Source organism: Homo sapiens, chromosome 8 (assembly GCF_000001405.40).
Source record: "Homo sapiens chromosome 8, GRCh38.p14 Primary Assembly".
NCBI classification, from domain to species: Eukaryota; Metazoa; Chordata; class Mammalia; order Primates; family Hominidae; genus Homo; species Homo sapiens.
The window spans coordinates 36,921,856-36,942,008 of NC_000008.11; the positions used below are offsets into that span (position 1 = coordinate 36,921,856).

The following is a 20,153-nucleotide window of genomic DNA, read 5'->3' on the forward strand; positions in this document are numbered from 1 at the left end:
AGCCCTTGCCACACAGAGTGCCATCCATGAATCGGCAACCTCAGCAGCATCTGGGAACTGGCTGGGCACGTAGACTCTCAGCCCTCACCCTAGATCCAGTGAATCAGAATCTGCATTGCAACCAAATCCCCAAATGATTCATATGTGCATTACATTTTGAAAGGCACTGGGCTTAAGTGACTCTAGGAACCCAAGTAAATACCAAGTCATCTATCTCATAGTATTTTGAGAAATAAAAGACTTTAACTGGGGTGACCATGTGTTCCTATTTATTCCTATGATTCCAGGGCAATTTTCGAGCATGCTCCCTTTTGCTCCCCCAAAATATCCTGGTTTGAAAGATAAATTATACAAGGATGACAATCAGAACACTTCTTGAGAAACTGAGCCTGTGCTCCAGCAATGTCCCCTTGATGGTGAATGTACCCAATAGAACTATGTACTTTGTGGGAAGGAAGATATTTGGAAAGGAAAGAAAAAAAAAATGTACTGAAAAAGGGGTTGATCCCACAGAGACCCCAAAGTAGACATCAGATCTTTTGATCAAGTGGTCGCCCCTTGGCCTGCATGGATGGCACTTCTTATATTCTTAACCTGATCTGCTTGTCTTTCCTTTTTGCCTCTTGCCTTGCAGAAAATCCTTCCAACATTCACTTTATTGAACAGCTTGGTGGACTGGAAGGGTCCCTCCAAGAAACAAATCTGCATCTCAGCACTGCCTTTTCTACGGGCACTGTTTTTTCCGGCAGCTTCTTGGATTCTCTGCTGGCCACGGTAAGAAAAGCTAAGCCATGGAGCCCCCAAAACCAAGCCCTCTGCAGAGAAGTGAACAGGTAGTATAAGGCTGAGTAGATGATAACACCTCACAGTTCTAAGTTCTCTTTGATTTTCAAAAACAAGCTTGTTCCCATACATTAATTTATCTTTTCTCATAACTACTTGGTGTGGGAAGCAACATTTTCACATTTTCAAGATTAAAAACTTGAGGCCCTTGCAGCCAGAACCCCTGATGCCAGGAAGAGTGAGTGTCGGCCTCTCAGCTTCTAAGGCATCGCTGCAGACCAGGTCCCTTGGCATCAGAGCTCAGGAGATACCACTTTCCCTTCTCTCTGAAATCCTCCAAACAGCTCATGTGGAAATTGGCCATAAAGGGATCCCAGTTTCAAGGAAGAAGCTCTGGCCTTTGCTGGTGAGTTTTGCTCAGAGCTAAGTCAAATCTCCCTCCATGTTCCTCCTCTCATGGGGGGCATTCTTGACTACATGGTTATTCTTTAGTTTTCAGCACCTCTTTAGCCACCTGGCAGACCTTTTCCATCCATTAGGATTCCCCTGGGTGGAATTAATTCATTGTACAAATGCCCACTGAACACCTACTCTGCACAGGGCACTGTTGGGGTGCTGGGGAATCTGCAGTGTGAGAATGACAAAAGCCTTATCCACATGGGGCCTGCTGAGTGGAGGGGATTGACATGTGCATGATAAATAAGTAACACAGAGGGATGCCAATTAAAGGGCTAAGGAGATGTGAGATAGGAAATGTGAAATTTGGGGAAGGAATTGCAAGATTCAATAACATTGCCTTCTCAGGGAAGGCGATGTTGAGAAGGCAGCATGTGACCCCAGCTCTGGGGGAGAGGAGAGAACACAGCATTCAGAAGCAGTGAGGTGGGAGTTGTTAGAAATAGATAATTGGTGCTGCGAAGAAAAGTCAGCATGGAGACAAAAGACCTCTCAGCAAGGCAATCTTTACTTTCTGCAGAAAGGGTGTTCAGTGGCAGATGGAACAATGGCAAGAGCACACTTGAACAAAGGAAAAGCAGACATATTTATCCCTTATGCATTTGGGTCATCCTTACTGCTGGGTCCTGCATCCATTGGCTGGAGCTGGAACTCACAGTCTTAAACTTATACCCAATTTGCTAATAACCTAAAACTTTTCTAAATAGGTAAGTGCAAGAAAGAATGAAGAAGGAGAGGAGGTTGCTTACGAAAGGTTTAAGGAAGCAATAACATTTCCACATAAAGAAGGTGCATAAGCTATGAGTTAAGACTTGCCTGGGTCTGTCCAGGCATGCCTGAGTAAGCCAAAGCAAATAACTGGGCAAAAGTGTAAGAACTAATAGTTGACAGGAGGCTTTAGAGTAAGGAGCTATTATTCCTGGTGTCTATTATTTTATTTTTAAACCAAGATGAGCTTTGAAGAGGAACTTTTCTGCTTTCTACAGAGTACACCCCAGGGTGTTAAAGGAATTTCAAATTGACTGAGACTCATGAGATCAGTGTGTAGCCATTTGTGAATGACTTGCAAAAACTCTTCCAAAGGAAAGCCACATAACCCACTGCCTCCCACACTCCTCCTACCCGGGATTTTCAAGGGAAGAGCTGCAAAATGGCTGGATGTCAATATGCAGATGCTTAAATGCAGAAGAATCTGAGCACAGTTGATGAACTTGCTGCCTCCTGGAGGTCCACAGTGAGAGGCATCATGCCTGAATTTCAGGAATGCTTCAAGGCACAGTTTGCAAGTTTAAGGGAGCACGGCTGGGCATATCCACTCCCTCCCTGACATCAATGCCATTCGGCATGAGATTGTGTTGCCCTGGGCTCTGCCTCTTTAAGCCGTGGTAGGGGTCTCATACACCCCATCAAGCTCTTAGAGAGAGAATACCACTTCAGTGGTAGTTTAACATTAAACAAATTGGTAAAGTGCAAGGCTCCTAAAGAGTTAAGCAGCTCAGCCTTCACTGAGCTAGGGAGGTACTAGAGGAAGTCAAGTCAGGTTACTTTTCTGAGAAGGTGGCTCTGTCAGAGAAAGTGTTATATCACTGTCTGTCACTGATATGTCAATTAACTCACCTGGAATTAATGACTGGAGTGTCAGGCAGGAGGTGACTCTCGATGAACTTGACCTGTCTGCAGATACATTTCAGATGGGTTTCAGGTCCCAGTTCTCTTCAGAGATCCTTAGATGTCAGGCAGCTTCATGCCTTAAATTAAAATTGAGACTCAATTAAACACCACTGGCTCACACAGGCAGGAATAGAGCCACAGATTTTATTTAGAGTTGATCAGAAGGGCAGGATGGACAGGGAAGGGCTGGAAGAGTAAGGACAACAACGAATGAACACACAATCACAAGCCAGTATGAGGAACACAGATTTGGTCATGAGCCTGATTCCTCCCACCACTCAGCACCTGATCATGACATTGGCCTTGGGTGGTCTAAAGAGTGCAGGTTCTTCCCAGGCTGCCTTCAGATATTGGGTCAATGGGCTTCACTTGGTGGAAGAGGAAGATTCTTGCTGGAAAACAAAATGTGCTATATAGAGAATAAAGGCCACATAGTGTGACCTAAAAGTGAGGTCATTGCATGAGATCACAACACACAGTGGATCATCAGCTTCGCCTTCAGAACTCTTGATAAGTACTTATTTTAGGACTGGCATTTGCTCAACTGAATTTGGGCAGGGACGGCAATGGAGCATCAGGGAAGAAAGCGTCTTCTATGTCAAGGGTGCTGACTGAATCTTGAACCTCTAAATCTCTACCTAGCAGTTTTCTGCCCCAGCTCATGAATCTTTAATGTTGTACGCCACAGCAAAATGAACACACTGTAACACTATTTAATGATGAGCTGAACTGGGCCATTGGAAATAATTGTGAATGCTGATAATTTTTGTTTTCCTTCTCGTTTCCCTTCTCCCTGCACCTGATTCTACTGGTTCTATGTGCCCTTATCAGTGTGGGGGTGGCTTCCCATCACCAAAGAAAGACCCAAGGATCAAGACTGAGCCTCCAATCTCATTGTCTCCTTTATTCCGGGGACCATTTGATTTTGGGTGGACTCTGGATCTTACCACCTGGTCACATGGAAATACCCTCGGAGAGGAAGAGAACATTTACCACCTTCCAATAACAACATCTAGAGTCACTACCGCAGCTCCTGAATACGTTCTCAAACACTTCATTTATTCTCCGTATGTGCTGGAGCATCTCCTGGCTGAGGGTTGGTAGGAAGGCAATGACCTCGATCTCCCCATTAACTTAGAAAGGCAGTTGTGGGTCCTGGAGCTATGACCCCTACAGACCCCCAAGGCAGACATTGCTGATGACCACAGTTCTCGTCCCCCAGATCATACCTTTTCCTACATAGATCTCTAGGCAATTTATTTAGATGAGTTTTCTTGTTGAGATAATATCAAGAATCATAGCTATTGATCTTAAGAAGAGTAACATCTCACAAGCATTTACCCAGAGCCAAGGAATTCACTAAGTGCATTACCTCCATTACCTGGTTTAATTATCCTGTCAAATACGGAAGCTTAGCTGGGTAAATAATCTGCCAAAGGCTGCATCATTTACCAGTAACAAGTTGGTTTTCAGATCCAAGTGTATGTGATCCTAGAGTCATTCCTCGCTGCCGCAATCAACTGCCCCTCCAGAAATCTATTTCTGTAATGATCAGTGTTCTTGCAACACAGGGATTTTCAAGTTTATTTTAGAGGGCTCCTTCCCTGACAATGTTCTGTGCAGAAAGAAGGAGATGTGCCCACCCTGCCTTGCCCACCCACATCTCTCCCCTCCATCAGAGCAATTCCACTTTCATCTGTGGTATATTAGAGGCGCCTGCATAAGATTCAATTGCACAAGAGACGTCTGTTGTTAAGAGGATTTTGGAACTCATTCCCTTGAAGTTAGGATGAAGGACCAACAGAGAGGCATAACATAAACAGAATCCTATTCTTCTCTATTCTGAGACAGTTTTCCAATTTCCAGCCAGAAGTCTGGTGCGGGAGGCAGGAGTCAGTCATTTTGCCCAATTTTGCATGTCCCTTTTATCCATAATATCCCTCCACAAAGACTGTCTTCTGGGTTTGACACTTCCAACCTGCAGCCCAGCTTAATGCACTGAGAGATCTGCGTCCCACTGCAACATAAGAGGTTACAGAGGTTACAATTAGACTCTAAACGTTGGGTTCCTTGATACCCACACTATACAGAAGGTCAAGGCTAAGAGCAGATGCATTCAGGACAGGCTCCCTGAATGTATCTGCTAATGCTTCAGCAGTTTCTGAAACAAGATGAGAACACCAGCCATTACTTCAATCCCAGTGAACTATATTTTCAACTGGATATTAAGGGCCCTCTTCCTTCCCATGTATACTCAGACACCTCCATAGTGCTCTTCCACCTTTCTCTCTCCACCGCCCCTAATAAACACCAAGAATAAATGTGCGAATCCCAAGAAGGCAACAAAGCCCACAGTCATGTGCTGTGAACTTGTCACTGCTTAGAAATACTAAGGTTTTGTTTAAATTTTCAGGCAATTTTAAAAATTCTATCCCTTGTTAGACCTGTGCTGGTTTTTTCAATGTAGAATAATAGGTTTTTCCCTCCAAACCTTCTGATACAGTTGACATTAAAATGGCTTCAAGTGTTCCTGGTATACTACCCTAAACTCCTGACCCAGCTGAAGAAATATTCCTATAGGATATAATTCAGATTTGCCTTTAATCCTCTCTCAGTTCAATGCTGTAAACATTCAAATATGGTGGGGCAGCCAGGCCCATATGCAGGGTTCCTATCTGGTTCTGCAACAAAAGACTTTCAAAACTAGATTTGAACTTGGGGAGCACTTTCCCTTACTTCTAAGGAAATTCAAGCCCACACAAATTACATGACATTCTTAGGGTCACTTGGCTTGTTAGTTGCAGTTTTCCTACCCTATAATCTCACTCTGAGATTAGAAGTATTTCCCAAAGAATGTTTGATCTTAAGGTCTTTGAGAATTCTCAGAATGAAAAGCAGCATTTGGCTAGGATGTTAGCATCTATACCATTAGGTAATACTCTAGGTTATGACAGGAACCACAACATTCACGGTAGCTGAAAGTTAAAACATTATGGGCAGCAACATTTTCTAACATTGAAAGTCCAAGTTCCAGTAAATAAGATGATATTAGAAACATTGACCAAATTTGAAAGTCCAAAATATTTCAAGTGCCCTTCAACTTGCAGATTTTCTTGTGAAAGACAAGAGGGATGGAGAGAGAGAACAAGAGGGAGAGAGAGAACTAGAGGGAGGGAGGGAGGAAGGGAGGGAGGGAAGGACGAAGGGAGAGAGGAAAGAAAGATGGAAGGAAGGAAGGGAGGGAGGGAGGGAAGGAGGGAGGGACGGAGGGAGGGAAAGGGAAGGGAAGATAGAAAGAAAGAGATATTGAGAAAGGTCTGTGGCAGAGAACCCCAAATAGTAAGAATAGGAGATGAGCTCACAGAACATGGGTGACATGTAAATCCCATTATTTTTCTCAATATAAAATTATAATCCTTTTGATGATGCCAGAACTGAAGAAATGATATATTCAAAAGCTAAGCCTCTCTCAGTTAAATATGTAAAGCACATGTTTTCCTAGAGCTATTGATACCAGGATAACCCTAGAATTTACACCTTTTCTTTAATCAGTGGAGAATTATTCTAATGGCATTATGTTCGATCACTCTACACTATGGCCACATGTTCTTAAACAGATTGTGGTTCAACCTGGATTTATGTCCTCCACTCTCCCGCTCCCAGCCCAGATATCGGGGACTTTATTCCATAAGCACCCTCCCAGGTGGTAGTGGGATGTAACAAAGAAGAAACATAAGGAGGAAGACATCACTCAGGAAATTCCTTTAGTCTGGGGACTAGGGCTAAGTCATCTTTTAACCTAAAAAATACTGTAAAAGTTATTTTTATTATCTTCTAATTCATATAGATTATATTATTTCTTGTCAACTTATCCCAATCACGCCTACATTTTACCAGCAATATTTATTTGTTAAAAATTACCTATCCATTGAAGTCAATATTCTTACAGCCTTCAAACACCTGCCTTGTTCAGTGCACCACTGAGGATATGAGTCTTATGCAGACACAGCCTATCTTCTGAAGGAGCACATCATCTTCAGGAAGTATTGCTCAGTCTGATCTGAGGACAACCAGTGTCAGAACCACTCAGAGTGCCCTTTAAATTCTGATTCCCATTCCTGTCCATATATTCTGATCCAGGAGATCTGGGATCCCAGAAATCTACACTCATTAATATCACTTCAGATGATCCAGATACATGAGAAGCAATGATAAAGAAAACAGAATTTAGCAATGTGTGCAGTATATTTTACTTAATCCTGCAAGCAATGCTAAAAGGTAAGTATTGCCATGTCAACTTTAAAGATTATAAAACTGTTGCTGAAAAAACAATCAGCCAGACACAGTGGCTCATGCCTGTAATCCCAGCACTTTGGGAGGCCAAGGTAGGTGGATCTCTTGAGGTCAGGAGTTTGAGATCAGCATGGCCAACATGGCAAAACCATGTTTCTACTAAAAATACTAAAAAATTACCCAGGTGTGGTGGTGCACAACTGTAATACCAGCTACTTGGGAGGCTGAGGCAGGAGAATTGCTCGAATCCAGGAGGCAGAGGTTGCAGTGAGCCGAGATTGTGCCACTGCACTCTAGCCTAGACAACAAACAGAGTGAGACCCTGTCTCAAAAAAAAAAAAAAAAAAAAGAACAAAAAACAAACAAACAAAAAAAAACCATGAATTGCTCAAAGGCACCCAGCTAGGATATGACAGTCCAAGATTCAAACTCAAGTGTGTTTCATACAAGCAACTAACTGTAAAAAACTGTAAAATATAGAAGAATGAAATTAAGTAAAACCCAGTGCCCATGGAATCCCAAAGAAAGAGAAATTTCATTCTGCTTAGAAGACCCAGGAAAGAGTCACAAAGCTGATGAACCAGAGTTTCAGAAGCAAAGGCATGAAGCAGTAAAAGAACCGCTTAAGCAACTGTAGATAGATTAACGTGCCCCAGAGGGGACAGGTCATGGAGGAAACAAGCCTGGGAAGGGGGACTGCATCAGATCCTGAAAGTTTTGAAGGCCACGGTGGAGACAGAGGGCCTGGTTTCGTGTCAGGATACTAAAAGGTTGAGGAGGTGGAGGTCACGATCTGATTTGTGTTTCTGGGAATTGCTGTGGAAGCATTGTAAACAATGGGTTGCAGATGAGAAGAAAATCAAGGCAGAACAAGAAGTAAAGAGGTTCCTATGATAATCCAGATTTCAGAAGATGGATCCCTGAATTTGAAAGTAGAGAAAATAAATGGCAAATGAATAACAATTGAAGTTATTCCTGATATTTATTATAAAAACAAAATGATTGCATTTAGATAATATATAAAATAGAAATTCTCATTTTTAATAAAGCAAAAGTCTAATTTAGATAAAATGAAGGATGAAAAATTAAAAATATATATTCAATAAATTTGAGAAAACCTAGTGGGTAATATATTCCAATGACCTTTCCATGTATGTTAATGCCTGGTCCACAATGAATGTGGTAGCAATCCTGGAGAAAGAGACTTTATTAAAATGGCTGGGATTATTCAGACTCAAGCTCATTTCAAAATAAGAAGTTTGCCATATCTTCCTCTGGTTTCATTTGGATGTCAAAGATTCTGAAACCCTATCCATTTAATTATTAAACACCTATAATTTCTAAAGTATAATGAGAGCTATGGGAAATCCAAATACTAATAAGACCTATGTCAATATATGTCCCTAAGTAGGTCACAAACAAAAGGATTATAAGTAAATCCACATCCACAAGGCTCAAGTATAGATGACAATAATATCATTAGTTCCCCACTGGAAAATCTACAGAACGTCTCAGTAAATATATGTATTTTTAAATATACATCGATGATGATTAGGGTATCTGTGACCTGACATGTATACCCCCTCTGGTCATTTTGGGAAGAGGGGAATGCCTGGTGTCAGTATCATTATCCATTTTCTTCTTCATCCGAAGTGTAATCTCCAAGGAACAGGAACTGGGTCAGTATTGTTTTCTCTGCACTTGGCCTAACCTGGCACAGTACCCAAACTGCCATCCTTCAGCTGCATTAGATAATAATAATGAGAAACACTGTTCTACACCATCAGGTCCATGTTAAACAGCAATGCCCACTAAATCTCCAAGCCTTTACCCCTCCACAGTTCACATATTGGCTCTTCTGACTTTGCATGTGGCTTGTCCTTGTTTTCCAGGCCTTCTACAATTATCATGTCCTGGAATTGCTTCAGATGCTGGTGACAGGAGGAGTAAGTTCTCAGCTGGAACAACATTTAGATAAGGATAAAGTCTATGGTGTGGCAGATAGCTGCACGTCGCTCTTGTCTGGAAGAAACCGGTGTAAGCTGGGGCTTCTGTCCTTACACGAAACCATTTTATCAGACGTTAATGTGAGTCTACTCTTCTCAGAATTCAGTTTTTCACTTCTTTACCTCTCTGAGCTTCTGAAAATGGTCCAGGCTATTTGGGTTCATAGATGTCCCATAGCACAGAAATGATAACAATAAAAATAACAAAAAAAGAATACAAGTTTATATTATTCATAGAGTATTTTACAAATCACAGTGTGTTAATATGTTATATTTATTTTTATAATAATTATGGGAAGTAGATAAAGAAGTTGTTATTATCCCCATCTTCTAGATAAATAACCTGAATCTACAGGGAGCATCGGAGAGGCCTGGCAACTTTGTACCTTGACAAGAGTATTCATAATAATTATAACAGCTAATGTTTATTGAGTATTTTCTCTGTGCTTGTCTTTTTTAGTATTTTTTCCACTTAATCTGCCCATGGATTTATATGGTAGGCATTATTATTAATTCTATTTAACAGATCAAGAAACTGGAGCTCAGAGAAGCAAGGACTTGCCAGAGACCACATTGTCAATCAGTGTCAGAGCAGGGACCCAGCTACAGCAGTTTGACCCTGGGCCTGCCTACTCTCCCTATACTTAAAATGCTAAAGAAATCTGATAAGGTCAGCTGAAATCAGGCAGAAGACTTCTGTACGTGGGTCTAAGAATCTGGCTGCACTGGCCAGTGGAAAATGCTTGCATTTTCTTAGCTGAGGGAGCTGGTAAACAGTAGATTACAGCAAGGGATAAGATAATAATTCTGGAAAATTCTAACAGGGCATCCAGGCATTTGGGAATCAGAGTAGGGTCTAGCCAAGAAATGAGAAATCTACTTGTCATTGTGGTGCCTTCTGGTTTGGTTTTAATTGGCATTGCATTCAGTTATCCAGTGTTACTGTTAGGGGCAGGCTGTTCCAAGGAAACATCTCTTGTTGATTCAGAGGACATTAGCAAAACCCCCAGGTAGAACAGTATACCTGGTGCATGTCAATGTGTGCTGCCAAAAGGGGCAGGACCCATGTTCTGTGCATTAGCATTTCAGGTGTAAACCACATTCCAGAAGCTCCCTCTTTGTAGTCTGGTCCTTTGCATTTCCGTAGTCCCGGATTGCTCACCTACAGGTGGACTTGTAAGTGTATATAAGCCCAGGAAACTGTTGCTAGCAACTTCCTGTTGGCATCAAAGAGGATGGTAGACTTGTCCCCACTCCTCTCCCTCCTCTCTCCATTTATGCCATGTTCCTCCCTTTGTTCTTTATCCTGAGGAATTACAGAACTGTATGGATTGATCCCTTTTGATCTTGCTGAGCCCATTTGCTGCTGCAGGGGCTTGAAATTGTTGTCTATTCATAATGATCTTGTTGGCTATAGCCCGAGAATAAGGTCCAGATGAGTATTTGGGACTGTGATCTGTTTTACAGTAGGGTAAGATGACTCCTCAAGAGTTCATTTAACATCCCAACTCATTATATATCTCAAAAGCTGCATTTTCCAACCTGTGGCTCATTGTTAATTCATAGTAGTTACCAGAATGGCAATGGTAATAAGGACAAGCACAACAACATGTCACACCACACCCACCAGAAGCTCTTGAAAGAGCCAGAATGATAAAAACCATCACTGGGATTAGAGTTTCAGAACTAATCATACTCTTAATTACCTATCGCCCTGGCAGTGCCACCACAAAGATATTAGGAAATGGCTTTCCAAGCTTCTACTACCAGATAAAGCAAACGACACTCCAGTGAGTGCTTATAATTGCTTGATCAAAGTGCCCAGCAGACATATTTTTGTCTCTTCTCTCCCCAGCCAAGAAACACCTTTGGACAACTGTTCTGTGGCTCATTAGATCTTTTTGGAATCCTGTGTGTTGGCTTATACCGAATAATTGATGAAGAGGAGCTCAACCCAGAAAACAAAAGGGGAGTGTGCTAGATTGGAAAGCACCATCCACCCATTCAAGCATAAGAACCAAAGCTACTTTATTCAATGTGAAAGAGAATTCCAGAGCTCAGGGTCCACAGTTGCAAGGAAGGGTGCATGGGAAATAAAAAACTATGTAAGAATAAGGAGGGATTGGTATAAACAAGGGGGACCTGAATAATTAGGGTCCTATTAATATTGGCTATATAAGAAGAATGGAGTCTCTGTCCCCCAGTGAAAATTGAAACACGGAGCTAGATTTTAAATCAGCTCCATGTTTCAATTTTGTAACTTACTCCTCATCCATGTCTGTACAACTTTCTAAAGCTGAATTCCACTATCTACATTTGAAAGATGTACTTGTTTTCTGCTGGACTCATTGGGTAAATATTGATTGAGACCTACTTTGCTAGCCATGGTGCTTTTTACATATAAATCATGGGGGTGATATGTTCGGCTTTCAATTTAAAGAAAGACCACTCTGACAGCCCTGAGGAAGATAGAAATGCATGTGGAGGGGAAAGGGAAAGAGAGGTTACAGTCTAGAGACAACACAATTGTGTATGCCCAGACTAAGATCCTCACAGTGGGAATGGAAAGGATTCAGAAGGGAAGAAGAAACAGAAAGGAATAGAGTGGAAATAGATGGATGGAACTTGTTCCAGGAGAAAGGAGAAGGAAGCCAAATTACTCAAAGTGGAGTGGTCTTGAATAGAAAAATAACAGCAACAATTTTTTTGGCCCACAGGAGAAAAGGAGGAAAAGAAGAGATGCCAAGGCAGATCTAGCTCTAGGTGAGGGCTGTGTTTATGGGAATTTTTATTTTGCACTAGGATTTCTCAGTGCACAGTCATTGCTGAGAGAAAGATGGAAGAAATAGTATCAGGAGTTGAGAAAGGAGTCAATGTTTAGATTAGCTGCTGAGAGGAGTGGAAGAGGAGGCTTACTGTGGATTTGTGAAGCAATCCTGGACCATACAGTGAAAGAAGAAAGATTGGAAATCCCAATGCATTGAATAGTAGATGTACTCAGAGTTAAGGGAGTGAGAGAGAAAGTATGATGAGAAGTTGTAGTCAGCTGTGTGATTTATTGAAATGTAACATTTTAGAGGTGGAACAATGTTAGGAATTAAAACAGCTAGGACACGGCCAGGAAAGTGATTTGGAAGTAAAGATCATTGGGTACTGGAAGTCATAGCAATACGTCTGAATGCTGGAGTTGTAAACCACATAGACACTGTAGGCATGTAAAAAGATGGCTGCACTAGAGTTTGAAAGAAAGAGCATGTCAAGTGCTAAAGGGCAAAATAAGCATCGAGGTCTACAGACGACTCTGATGGATGGGGAAGGAAGGTGCCATGGCTTTATAGTACCCACCACCAAGACAATGGGGGAGGAGTGATGTTCTGGAAATAGCTCTCTCTCTCCCTCTCTACCTGAACTCCACCCCTCCCCCAAACACCTCTGTACAGCTCTTGCAACATGATAACTGGGAAAATATACAGCTTATATTAATACTTGATCTCAGGGGAAAAATTGATATTTTTGTTTTAAACAGAATATGTGATCTTGTTCAGCTGATGTTTTTAAAAATAGAATTGAGGCTACAGAGGACTCAGTGGGAAAAATACAAGTGGGTAGGTTATTCAGTGAAGGAAATTCAATGGTGCCTTGAGATCTATGCTAGGAAAGAGTTGATCATTTGAGGCACTAGTGAGGCAATGCAGGATGAAAGCCATACAAGGCTACCCTGCCTCAATGTTCCCACATAAGCACTGCTGCACTCATTACTTCAACTCACATTTTTGGGCATTTGCTATGTACCTGATGCTGTGTTAACAGTTCTGGATATTCTTTAGGGTTCATTAACGTTCACTATTTGCTTGCCAGTCAGGGTTTCAAATGAAACTGTTTTTTTCTAATGCTTTTCTCCATTGGCCAGGCTACATTCTGTGGGAAAGTCGGTGGCATAAGCATTAGGTTAGAGTAGGTCTAAGTCAGGATGAAAATACCTGAAATATATGTCATCTTTCTGTTGACAAAGCTTGGCTACGTGGTCAATATTGTGCCAGCTGAATTCATGAGTATAGTGTCTTTTAAAATCAAATAGACCTGGAGTAAGGCCATTAGACATCAACCAATCCAAATCACCGTCTTCCCCCTCTTCCCACTGGAACAAAAGATGAGCGCAGCAAGGCCCAGAGAAGGAGGACACCATGCCCAGAGTCAGAAGTGGTTGGGTTCAGAGGCAGGGATGAAAGCCAGCCCCCTCATTCCTACTCTAGAACCTCTCCTCTTGCACTGTGCTACAGGAGTAAGTACTAAATAGCTATTTACTATTAATCAGAAACCCATGAAGCAAAACAAAACAAAAACGTTTCCTCTTTGGGCCCAGCAAAATGACCTCTTTATTTGGGTCACTGCCTGTTGCCACACTGGCCAGCTGCAGAACCTCAGCATTTATCTTTGACTTGTCTTACAGGTTTGTGATCACCCGGCCAGCCAATGAGTTCAAGCTGCTGCCTTCAGATCTTGTGTTTTGTGCCATACCCTTCAGCACTGCTTGTTATAAAAGGAATGAAGAGTTCTCATTGCAAAAGTCATATGAAATTGTAAATAAAGCATCACAGACAACAGAGACACATTCAGACACAAATTGTCCTCCCACCATTGATTCAGTTACTGAGACATTGTATTCACCAGTCTATTCTTACCAGCCGAGAACTAACTCCCTCTCTTTTCCTAAGCAAATAGCATGGAATCAGAGTAGAACAAACAGTATTATATCATCTCAGATACCTTTAGGTGACAATGCAAAAGAAAATGAAAGGAAAACTTCAGATGAGGTTTATGATGAGGATCCCTTTGCATATTCAGAGCCACTATAGACCTGCCCATATTCTTCACGTGCTCTTAACTTGCTGCTTACAAATCATCTCCTGAGATGCTAACTTTGAACAAAGAAAATAAGAATGGAAGCATGCCATTTTTCTGCCCATTGCTTAGTGGTTCATGAAGGCCACACTGTTTTGGGTGAGACAAAAGTCTAATGCCACTGGATCTTGTGTGATAAATAAAGAAATATATGATCAATGCTTCTGTAAGGAAAGTTCATTGCTCCTGAGTAGAAAACATGTTAATTTGAGCTGCATTAAAGAAGTCCTCCAGTACTTGCTGGATTCCCCAGGTCAGGAAATACAGGTAATCAAGATAAAAATGAGAATTACTCAGACATAGGAAGGAAGTAAAGAGACCCCCTTCAGTCAAGAATCTTACATTTTCTTTTATCCCAGAACAGGCAAATAGTAAACTAGTATATATTTCCCTCTTTCCCTCCCCATCGTATTTTTCGTTATTCCATTGTATTTTTATTTCATTTCTTTTTATAGGAGTTGAGAAGCACCAGATGAGGAGATGTGACTGGAATTGGAAAACAATTTGTCTATAAGACCTGGGCATATGCCTGGAACATAGTAGAGGTTTCATAAAAATGAATGTTAGAGTACCCTGGGATAGGGTGCCTGAGTGAAATAAGATAGATTAAAGTATGTAACCTTCCAAATTATCTAATTCAAGAACAGAGATATCATTGCATAAAAGGTCTGAAACATTTCGCTATTCCATATTCCAAAGCAAACCAATCCACTGCTCTATAAACTTTATCTTACAATTAAGTCATTTCACCTAGAGGTTACTGTTTACATTGTAAACAAAAGTTCAGCATATCTAGGATGTATCCACTCCCAATTGGTTGTCTTACAATGATGAACTTTGTAAACAAGCTCCTTGCATTATCAATACAACAAAGGTAGAAGGGGGGTGGAGGGAGAAAGAAAATAATTAACCATTTCTCTTAAATTGTTTTACATAACATTTATTGTTATGTAAATTGTTTACATAACATTTATAATATCCTTGACATTTTTAACAATATCTTTGCTGGTTTGGTTTTATTGCTTCTGTTTTACAGGGCAAGAAACTATGTCACAAATAGTGTTGCCAGATCAAATAAACATGCCCAGTTAAATATAAATTTCTGATAAAAGAATAAATAATATTTTTACTATAAGTATGTCCAAATTATTCCATTCAGCTAGTAAGTGATTGAATCAACATCCAAACCTGGTTTATTTCACTCCAGCACTTGTAGACATTATACTTTGAAATACACTAATAAAGAAAATAAAACAAACTAAAGAAACACAAAAATATCCATCGAGAGGAAATAAAATTTTGCATCAGTTAAGCTTTGGTTGTAAAGAAATCAACTCAATCTATGTGGAAAATAGAGTGATTGTAAGGAAATTTGTCAGGAACCAAGGAAATTTAAAAATTTTTTTTGAAGTCTCCCAAAGTCATTTTCATCCTTCCTCCTTTTCAGGTAGACTTTGCTTTTCCATATATATGGCAAGATATATCTTTCTGCAATTCCAAATTTATAGGTAGAGTTCTAGGCATATCAAAGCTTTAACTGACTGTCTCTAAATCCCAATCCTAATTTTTAAAAGTATTTGATGGGCTCAGCTTTGGCCACTCCATTCCAACTATTAACGGCTGAGGATCAGGGTGCCTCTGAATGAAGGACTGTGCTCAGGGGAGGGAGGAGGGTCCATGGCCTGGGATGAAGTGACACCAAAACCTATTGCAAAGACAGTATTAGTCCCTTTTCCCCATTCCCCTGGCCAGTCTGTACACATAGCAGGTTTAGTAGAGACAAAATGTTCCCGAGAAAGAAATTATGGATTGGCTCTATGGATATTCAAAATCCAGTATTTTAAGGAAATGAGTACTGGAAATCTGGCTAAGGAAATATCTGTTGCAACTACAGCCAGTGTATGAGCATTCATATTGTCAGTATTGATAAATGAAGTTGGCAGAGTATCCCTAAATTTATGTGCCAAGTGATTCTATAGCTCCAGAACCCAACTCTTCACCTGTAAGTGACAACATTTTAATAATACAAATCATAAACACCAAGTTCTTTGGCAATATGGTGGATATTTAATCCATAATAATTGTTTGATTCTTGTTAATAGAAGAACTGATATGAAGACAAGGGAAAACATACAAGGAATTTAGTTCACAAACAATATGGGGACCAGAAGTTCTTAAGTTTTTTGACACTTTAATACTTTCAAAATTGGATGACAGCTACAGACTTCCTCCCCAGAAAAATTTACATATGCATATATTTCACAAAATTCCTCATGTAAGTGGGAAGAAGGACATGGATCACACTATAGTCTATTTATTATCTTTCAAAATCCCTGATACAGACTTTTTATAATCAGCAGAGTGGTCACCAGATAGAACATAGGAGAGGGGAGTCAAGAGACCTGAGTACATGCTTTGGATATCTCATTAAAGATTTTTTGTTTGTTTGTTTGTTTGTTTGTTTGTTTGTAATATTGGGCAAGGTCTTAAAACCTTCCTCAGCTTATTTTACTGTTTGCAAAAGGATAAAGTTGAACTAGAAGATGCTGAGCATTACTTCCATCTTCGTTTATTCAACACATTTTTTTTCACTTCGTACTATGTATCAGGCACTGTGCTAGATGCCAAGGATAGAGCAGTAACCAAGACAAAGTTGCTTTCTCCATGAAGCATACATTCTAGTTGAAGGAGGCAGAAAATAAGAAAGAAATCTAGCATTGTTAGAGCATAGTGAATAAACCAGAGGAAACGTTACATGAGATGAGACTGGAAAGATAGGCAGGACCTAATTAATAAAGACTCTATAGACAAAAAAGATTACATTTGATTCTAAGTGTGATGAGAAGCTCTTTAACAATTTTAAATACTGGAGTGAGTGATGCGATTTACTGCTGATCCATGAGCAACACGAGTTTGAACTGCATGGTATACAGCTATTCATCCTCTCTTGAGACAGCAAGACCAATCCCTTCTCTTCTTACTCCTCCTCAACCTACTCAATGTGAAGATGACACCTCCTCAACCTACTCAATGTGAAGATGACAAGGAAGAGAAGTTTATGATGATCCACTCTCACTCAGTAGTAAATGTATTTTCTCTTCCTTATTATTTTCTTAATAATATTTTCTTTGCTTTAGCTTACTTTATTTTAAGAATTCAGTACATAATAGATATAACATACAAAAATGTGTGTTAATCAACTGTTTATGTTATTGGTAAGGCTTCTAGTCCAGAGTAGGCTATTAGTAGTTAAGTTTGAAGGGAGTCAATATTTATATGTGAATTTTTGACTGTGTGGCAGGTTGGGGCTCCTAACCCCTGTATTGTTCAAGGGTCAACTGTATATTTTTCAAAGATTACTGTGGCACTTAGGGTTTCAGAAGTATAACTAACTGAATTCAAATGGATTTTCTCTCTGCTAGAAACACTCAGAAATGCTAGGTAAACTATAATAAATTTTAAATATATATATAGCAGTTCCTTTTTTTTTTTTTGAGATGGCATCTCGCTCTGTCACTCAGGCTGGAGTGGAGTGCAGTGTCATAATCTCGGCTCACTGCAACCTCTGCCTCCCAGTTTCAAGTGATTCTCCTGCCTCAGCCTCCTGAGTATCTGAGACTACAGGCACCTGCCACCACACCCAGCTAATTTTTGTATTTTTAATAGACGGTGTTTCACTATGTTGGCCAGGGTGGTCTCGAACTCCTGACTTCAAGTGATCTGCCCACTTCAGCCTCCCAAAGTGCTGAAATTACATTGTAGGAATTACAGGCATGAGCCACCACACCTGGTCTATAGTAGTTATTTAAAAAGAAAGAAAACTCCCAGGCAGAAGTAGGAGGGAAGTCATAGCCAGAGAGGGTGTCTGTGAGAGATACAGGACTAATATGTAGGACTGTTTAGTCAGTGGCTGGGATTATGATGTCATGGGGGAGCCATAAGATGAGATGGGAACTGAGAACCAATATAACTTTAAGCTGGGAAGGACCAGCCCATGTGAGCAAGAAGCAATAGATAGCCTCCTTCCACTGGCCAAAAGAGGACCAAGAACATTTATCTTTGCTTAGGAATCTGGGTATGAAAAACACCTATCATGAGAAATTGAAGCCCCAAGCTCATATAATGTGCTGATGTAATATTCAAATTTATGCCATGTGTGGCAGAAATTTGAAACTGAAAATGTAATAAAGAAACATCCAGTTCCAAACGAGTAACACTCTTGAAATGACATGAAAAAACAAGAAAACATGACACTACCAAGGAAACAAAATAATTATCTAGGAACAGATCACAAATAAAAGGAAATATACAAAATGCTACAAAAGGAAATCAAAATGATAATCTTAAAGACATGTGGTAAAACACAAGAGAATAAAGGTAGGCAATTTGATGAATCAGGAAAAATACCCATGATCTAAATGAGAAACTCAACAGAGATAAATACCATAAGAAAGAACCAAACAGAAATCTTAGTGCAGAAGAACTTAATGAATAAAATAAAAATGTCCAGAGCTTCTATGAAATACTAGACCAAATAACAGAAAGACTTTCTGAACTGGAAGACAGATCTTTTGAAATAATGCAGACAGACGTAAAAGAAAAAGAAAAAAGAACTTAAAAGAATGAAGAAAGTCTATAGGATTTATGGGGCACCAGTAAGCAAACAAATATTCATATTATATGAGTTCCAGAAAGAGAATAGACAGGAAAAGTCATAGGAAGCATACAAAATGAAATAATAGCTGAAAACTTGCCAAGTCTAGGGAGAGAGATGGACATCTGTTCCAGAAACAACAAAAATCCCCAAATACCTTCAACTCAGACAGATCCTCTCTGAGGCATGTTATAGTCAAATTTTCTTTAGTCAAAGAATTCTAAAAATAGCAAGATAAAAATGTGAAGTCACATATAAAGGAATCTCCATTAGACTAATGCAGATTTCTCATCAGAAATCTTACAGGTCAAAAAAAATGGGATTATACAGTCAAAGTGCTGAAAGAAAATAAATCTGCCAACCAAGAACACTGTATCCAGCAAATCTATTCTTCAGAAATGAAGTAGTCTTTCCCAGACAGGCAAAGACTGAGGGAATTTATCACCACTGGACCAGTCTTACAAGAATCACTTAAGAGAGTCCTACATTTGGAAGTAAAAAGGCAATAACAATCATCATGAAAACACAAAAAAATTCTAAAACTCACCTGTAAAGCAGATACAAAAAGAAAAAAGGAATCAAATCTTATTGTGACAGAAAAACCACCAAACCACAATGAAAAACAATAATAGAGGAGGAAATTTTAAAAGGATATACAAAACAACCAGCAAACAATAAAATGATAGGAGTAAGTCCTCCCCTATCAATAACTTTGATGTAAATTGATTTCCCAATTAAAAGACATAGACTGGCCAAATGGGTTGAAAAAATAAACAGGCATGACTATATGCTGCCTATGAGAACTAAATTCACCATATGGACACAAATAGACTGAAAGTGGAGTGATGAAAAAAGATATCCCTTGGAATATCAAATGGGTACAAAAAGCAAGCAGGAGTAGCTACATTTATGTCAGATAAAACAGACTTTACATCAAAAACTGTAAAAAGAGACAAAGAAGAATATTATGTAACAATAAAGGGATCAATTCAGCAAGTGTATATAACAAATGAAAATATATAGGCATTAACACCAGAGCACCCAGGTATATAAAGCAAATATTATTATATCTAAAGAGTGAGAGACATTCCAGAACAATAATAGTTGGGGACTTCAACATCCCATTCTCAGCATTAGACAGATCATCTAAACAGAAAATGAACAAAGAAACACCAAATTTAAGGTGCACCATAGGCAAAATTGACCTAACACATTTATAGAAGTTTTCACCCAATAGCTGCAGAATACACATTCTATTTCTCAGCACATGGAATATTCTCCTAAATTAACTATATGTTATGAAAAAACAAGTCTCAAAAATTAAAAAAAAATTAAAATCATACCACGTATTTTTTTTCTGACCACAATGGAAAAAAGCTAGAAATCAT

At 39.7% G+C, this 20,153-nt stretch overlaps 1 protein-coding gene and 1 long non-coding RNA gene across 8 annotated transcripts in view, besides 1 other annotated feature; one reads left to right on the forward strand and one right to left on the reverse strand.

Annotated features, from left to right (window-relative positions):
* Positions 1–3,352, reverse strand: part of LOC105379375 (uncharacterized) — a 43,292-nt gene extending 39,940 nt beyond the window's left edge. The window contains exons 1-2 of the long non-coding RNA XR_949672.3: positions 3,196–3,352; positions 2,857–2,987 (exon numbers count right to left, since the gene is read on the reverse strand). This is a non-coding gene — a long non-coding RNA (uncharacterized LOC105379375). The remainder of the gene's footprint in view (positions 1–2,856; positions 2,988–3,195) is intronic.
* The window catches only part of KCNU1 (potassium calcium-activated channel subfamily U member 1), a 151,752-nt gene extending 137,482 nt beyond the window's left edge, over positions 1–14,270 (forward strand). For 3 of the 7 annotated variants that reach the window (NM_001031836.3, XM_017013144.3, XM_011544424.3), the window contains 4 exons: positions 635–774; positions 9,096–9,290; positions 11,065–11,177; positions 13,660–14,270. In NM_001031836.3, the coding sequence (NP_001027006.2) occupies positions 635–774; positions 9,096–9,290; positions 11,065–11,177; positions 13,660–14,065 (854 nt within the window). In that variant the 3' untranslated portion in view covers positions 14,066–14,270. Of the gene's footprint in view, positions 1–634; positions 775–1,127; positions 1,209–9,095; positions 9,291–11,064; positions 11,178–13,659 lie in introns of those variants that run through there. The other 4 variants (NR_134267.2, XM_011544426.3, XM_024447080.2 and 1 more) reach the window with 4 other exon arrangements.
* Positions 1,447–2,646: an enhancer, noted in NCBI's record as "MED14-independent group 3 enhancer chr8:36780820-36782019 (GRCh37/hg19 assembly coordinates)". NCBI's record gives its function as "activates an origin of replication core promoter dependent on BRD2, BRD4, P300/CBP and CDK7 cofactors, and independent of MED14, by STARR-seq in HCT116 cells {active_cell/tissue: HCT116}" and the evidence as "EXISTENCE:reporter gene assay evidence [ECO:0000049][PMID:35650434]".
* Positions 14,271–20,153: the final 5,883 nt, after the last annotated feature.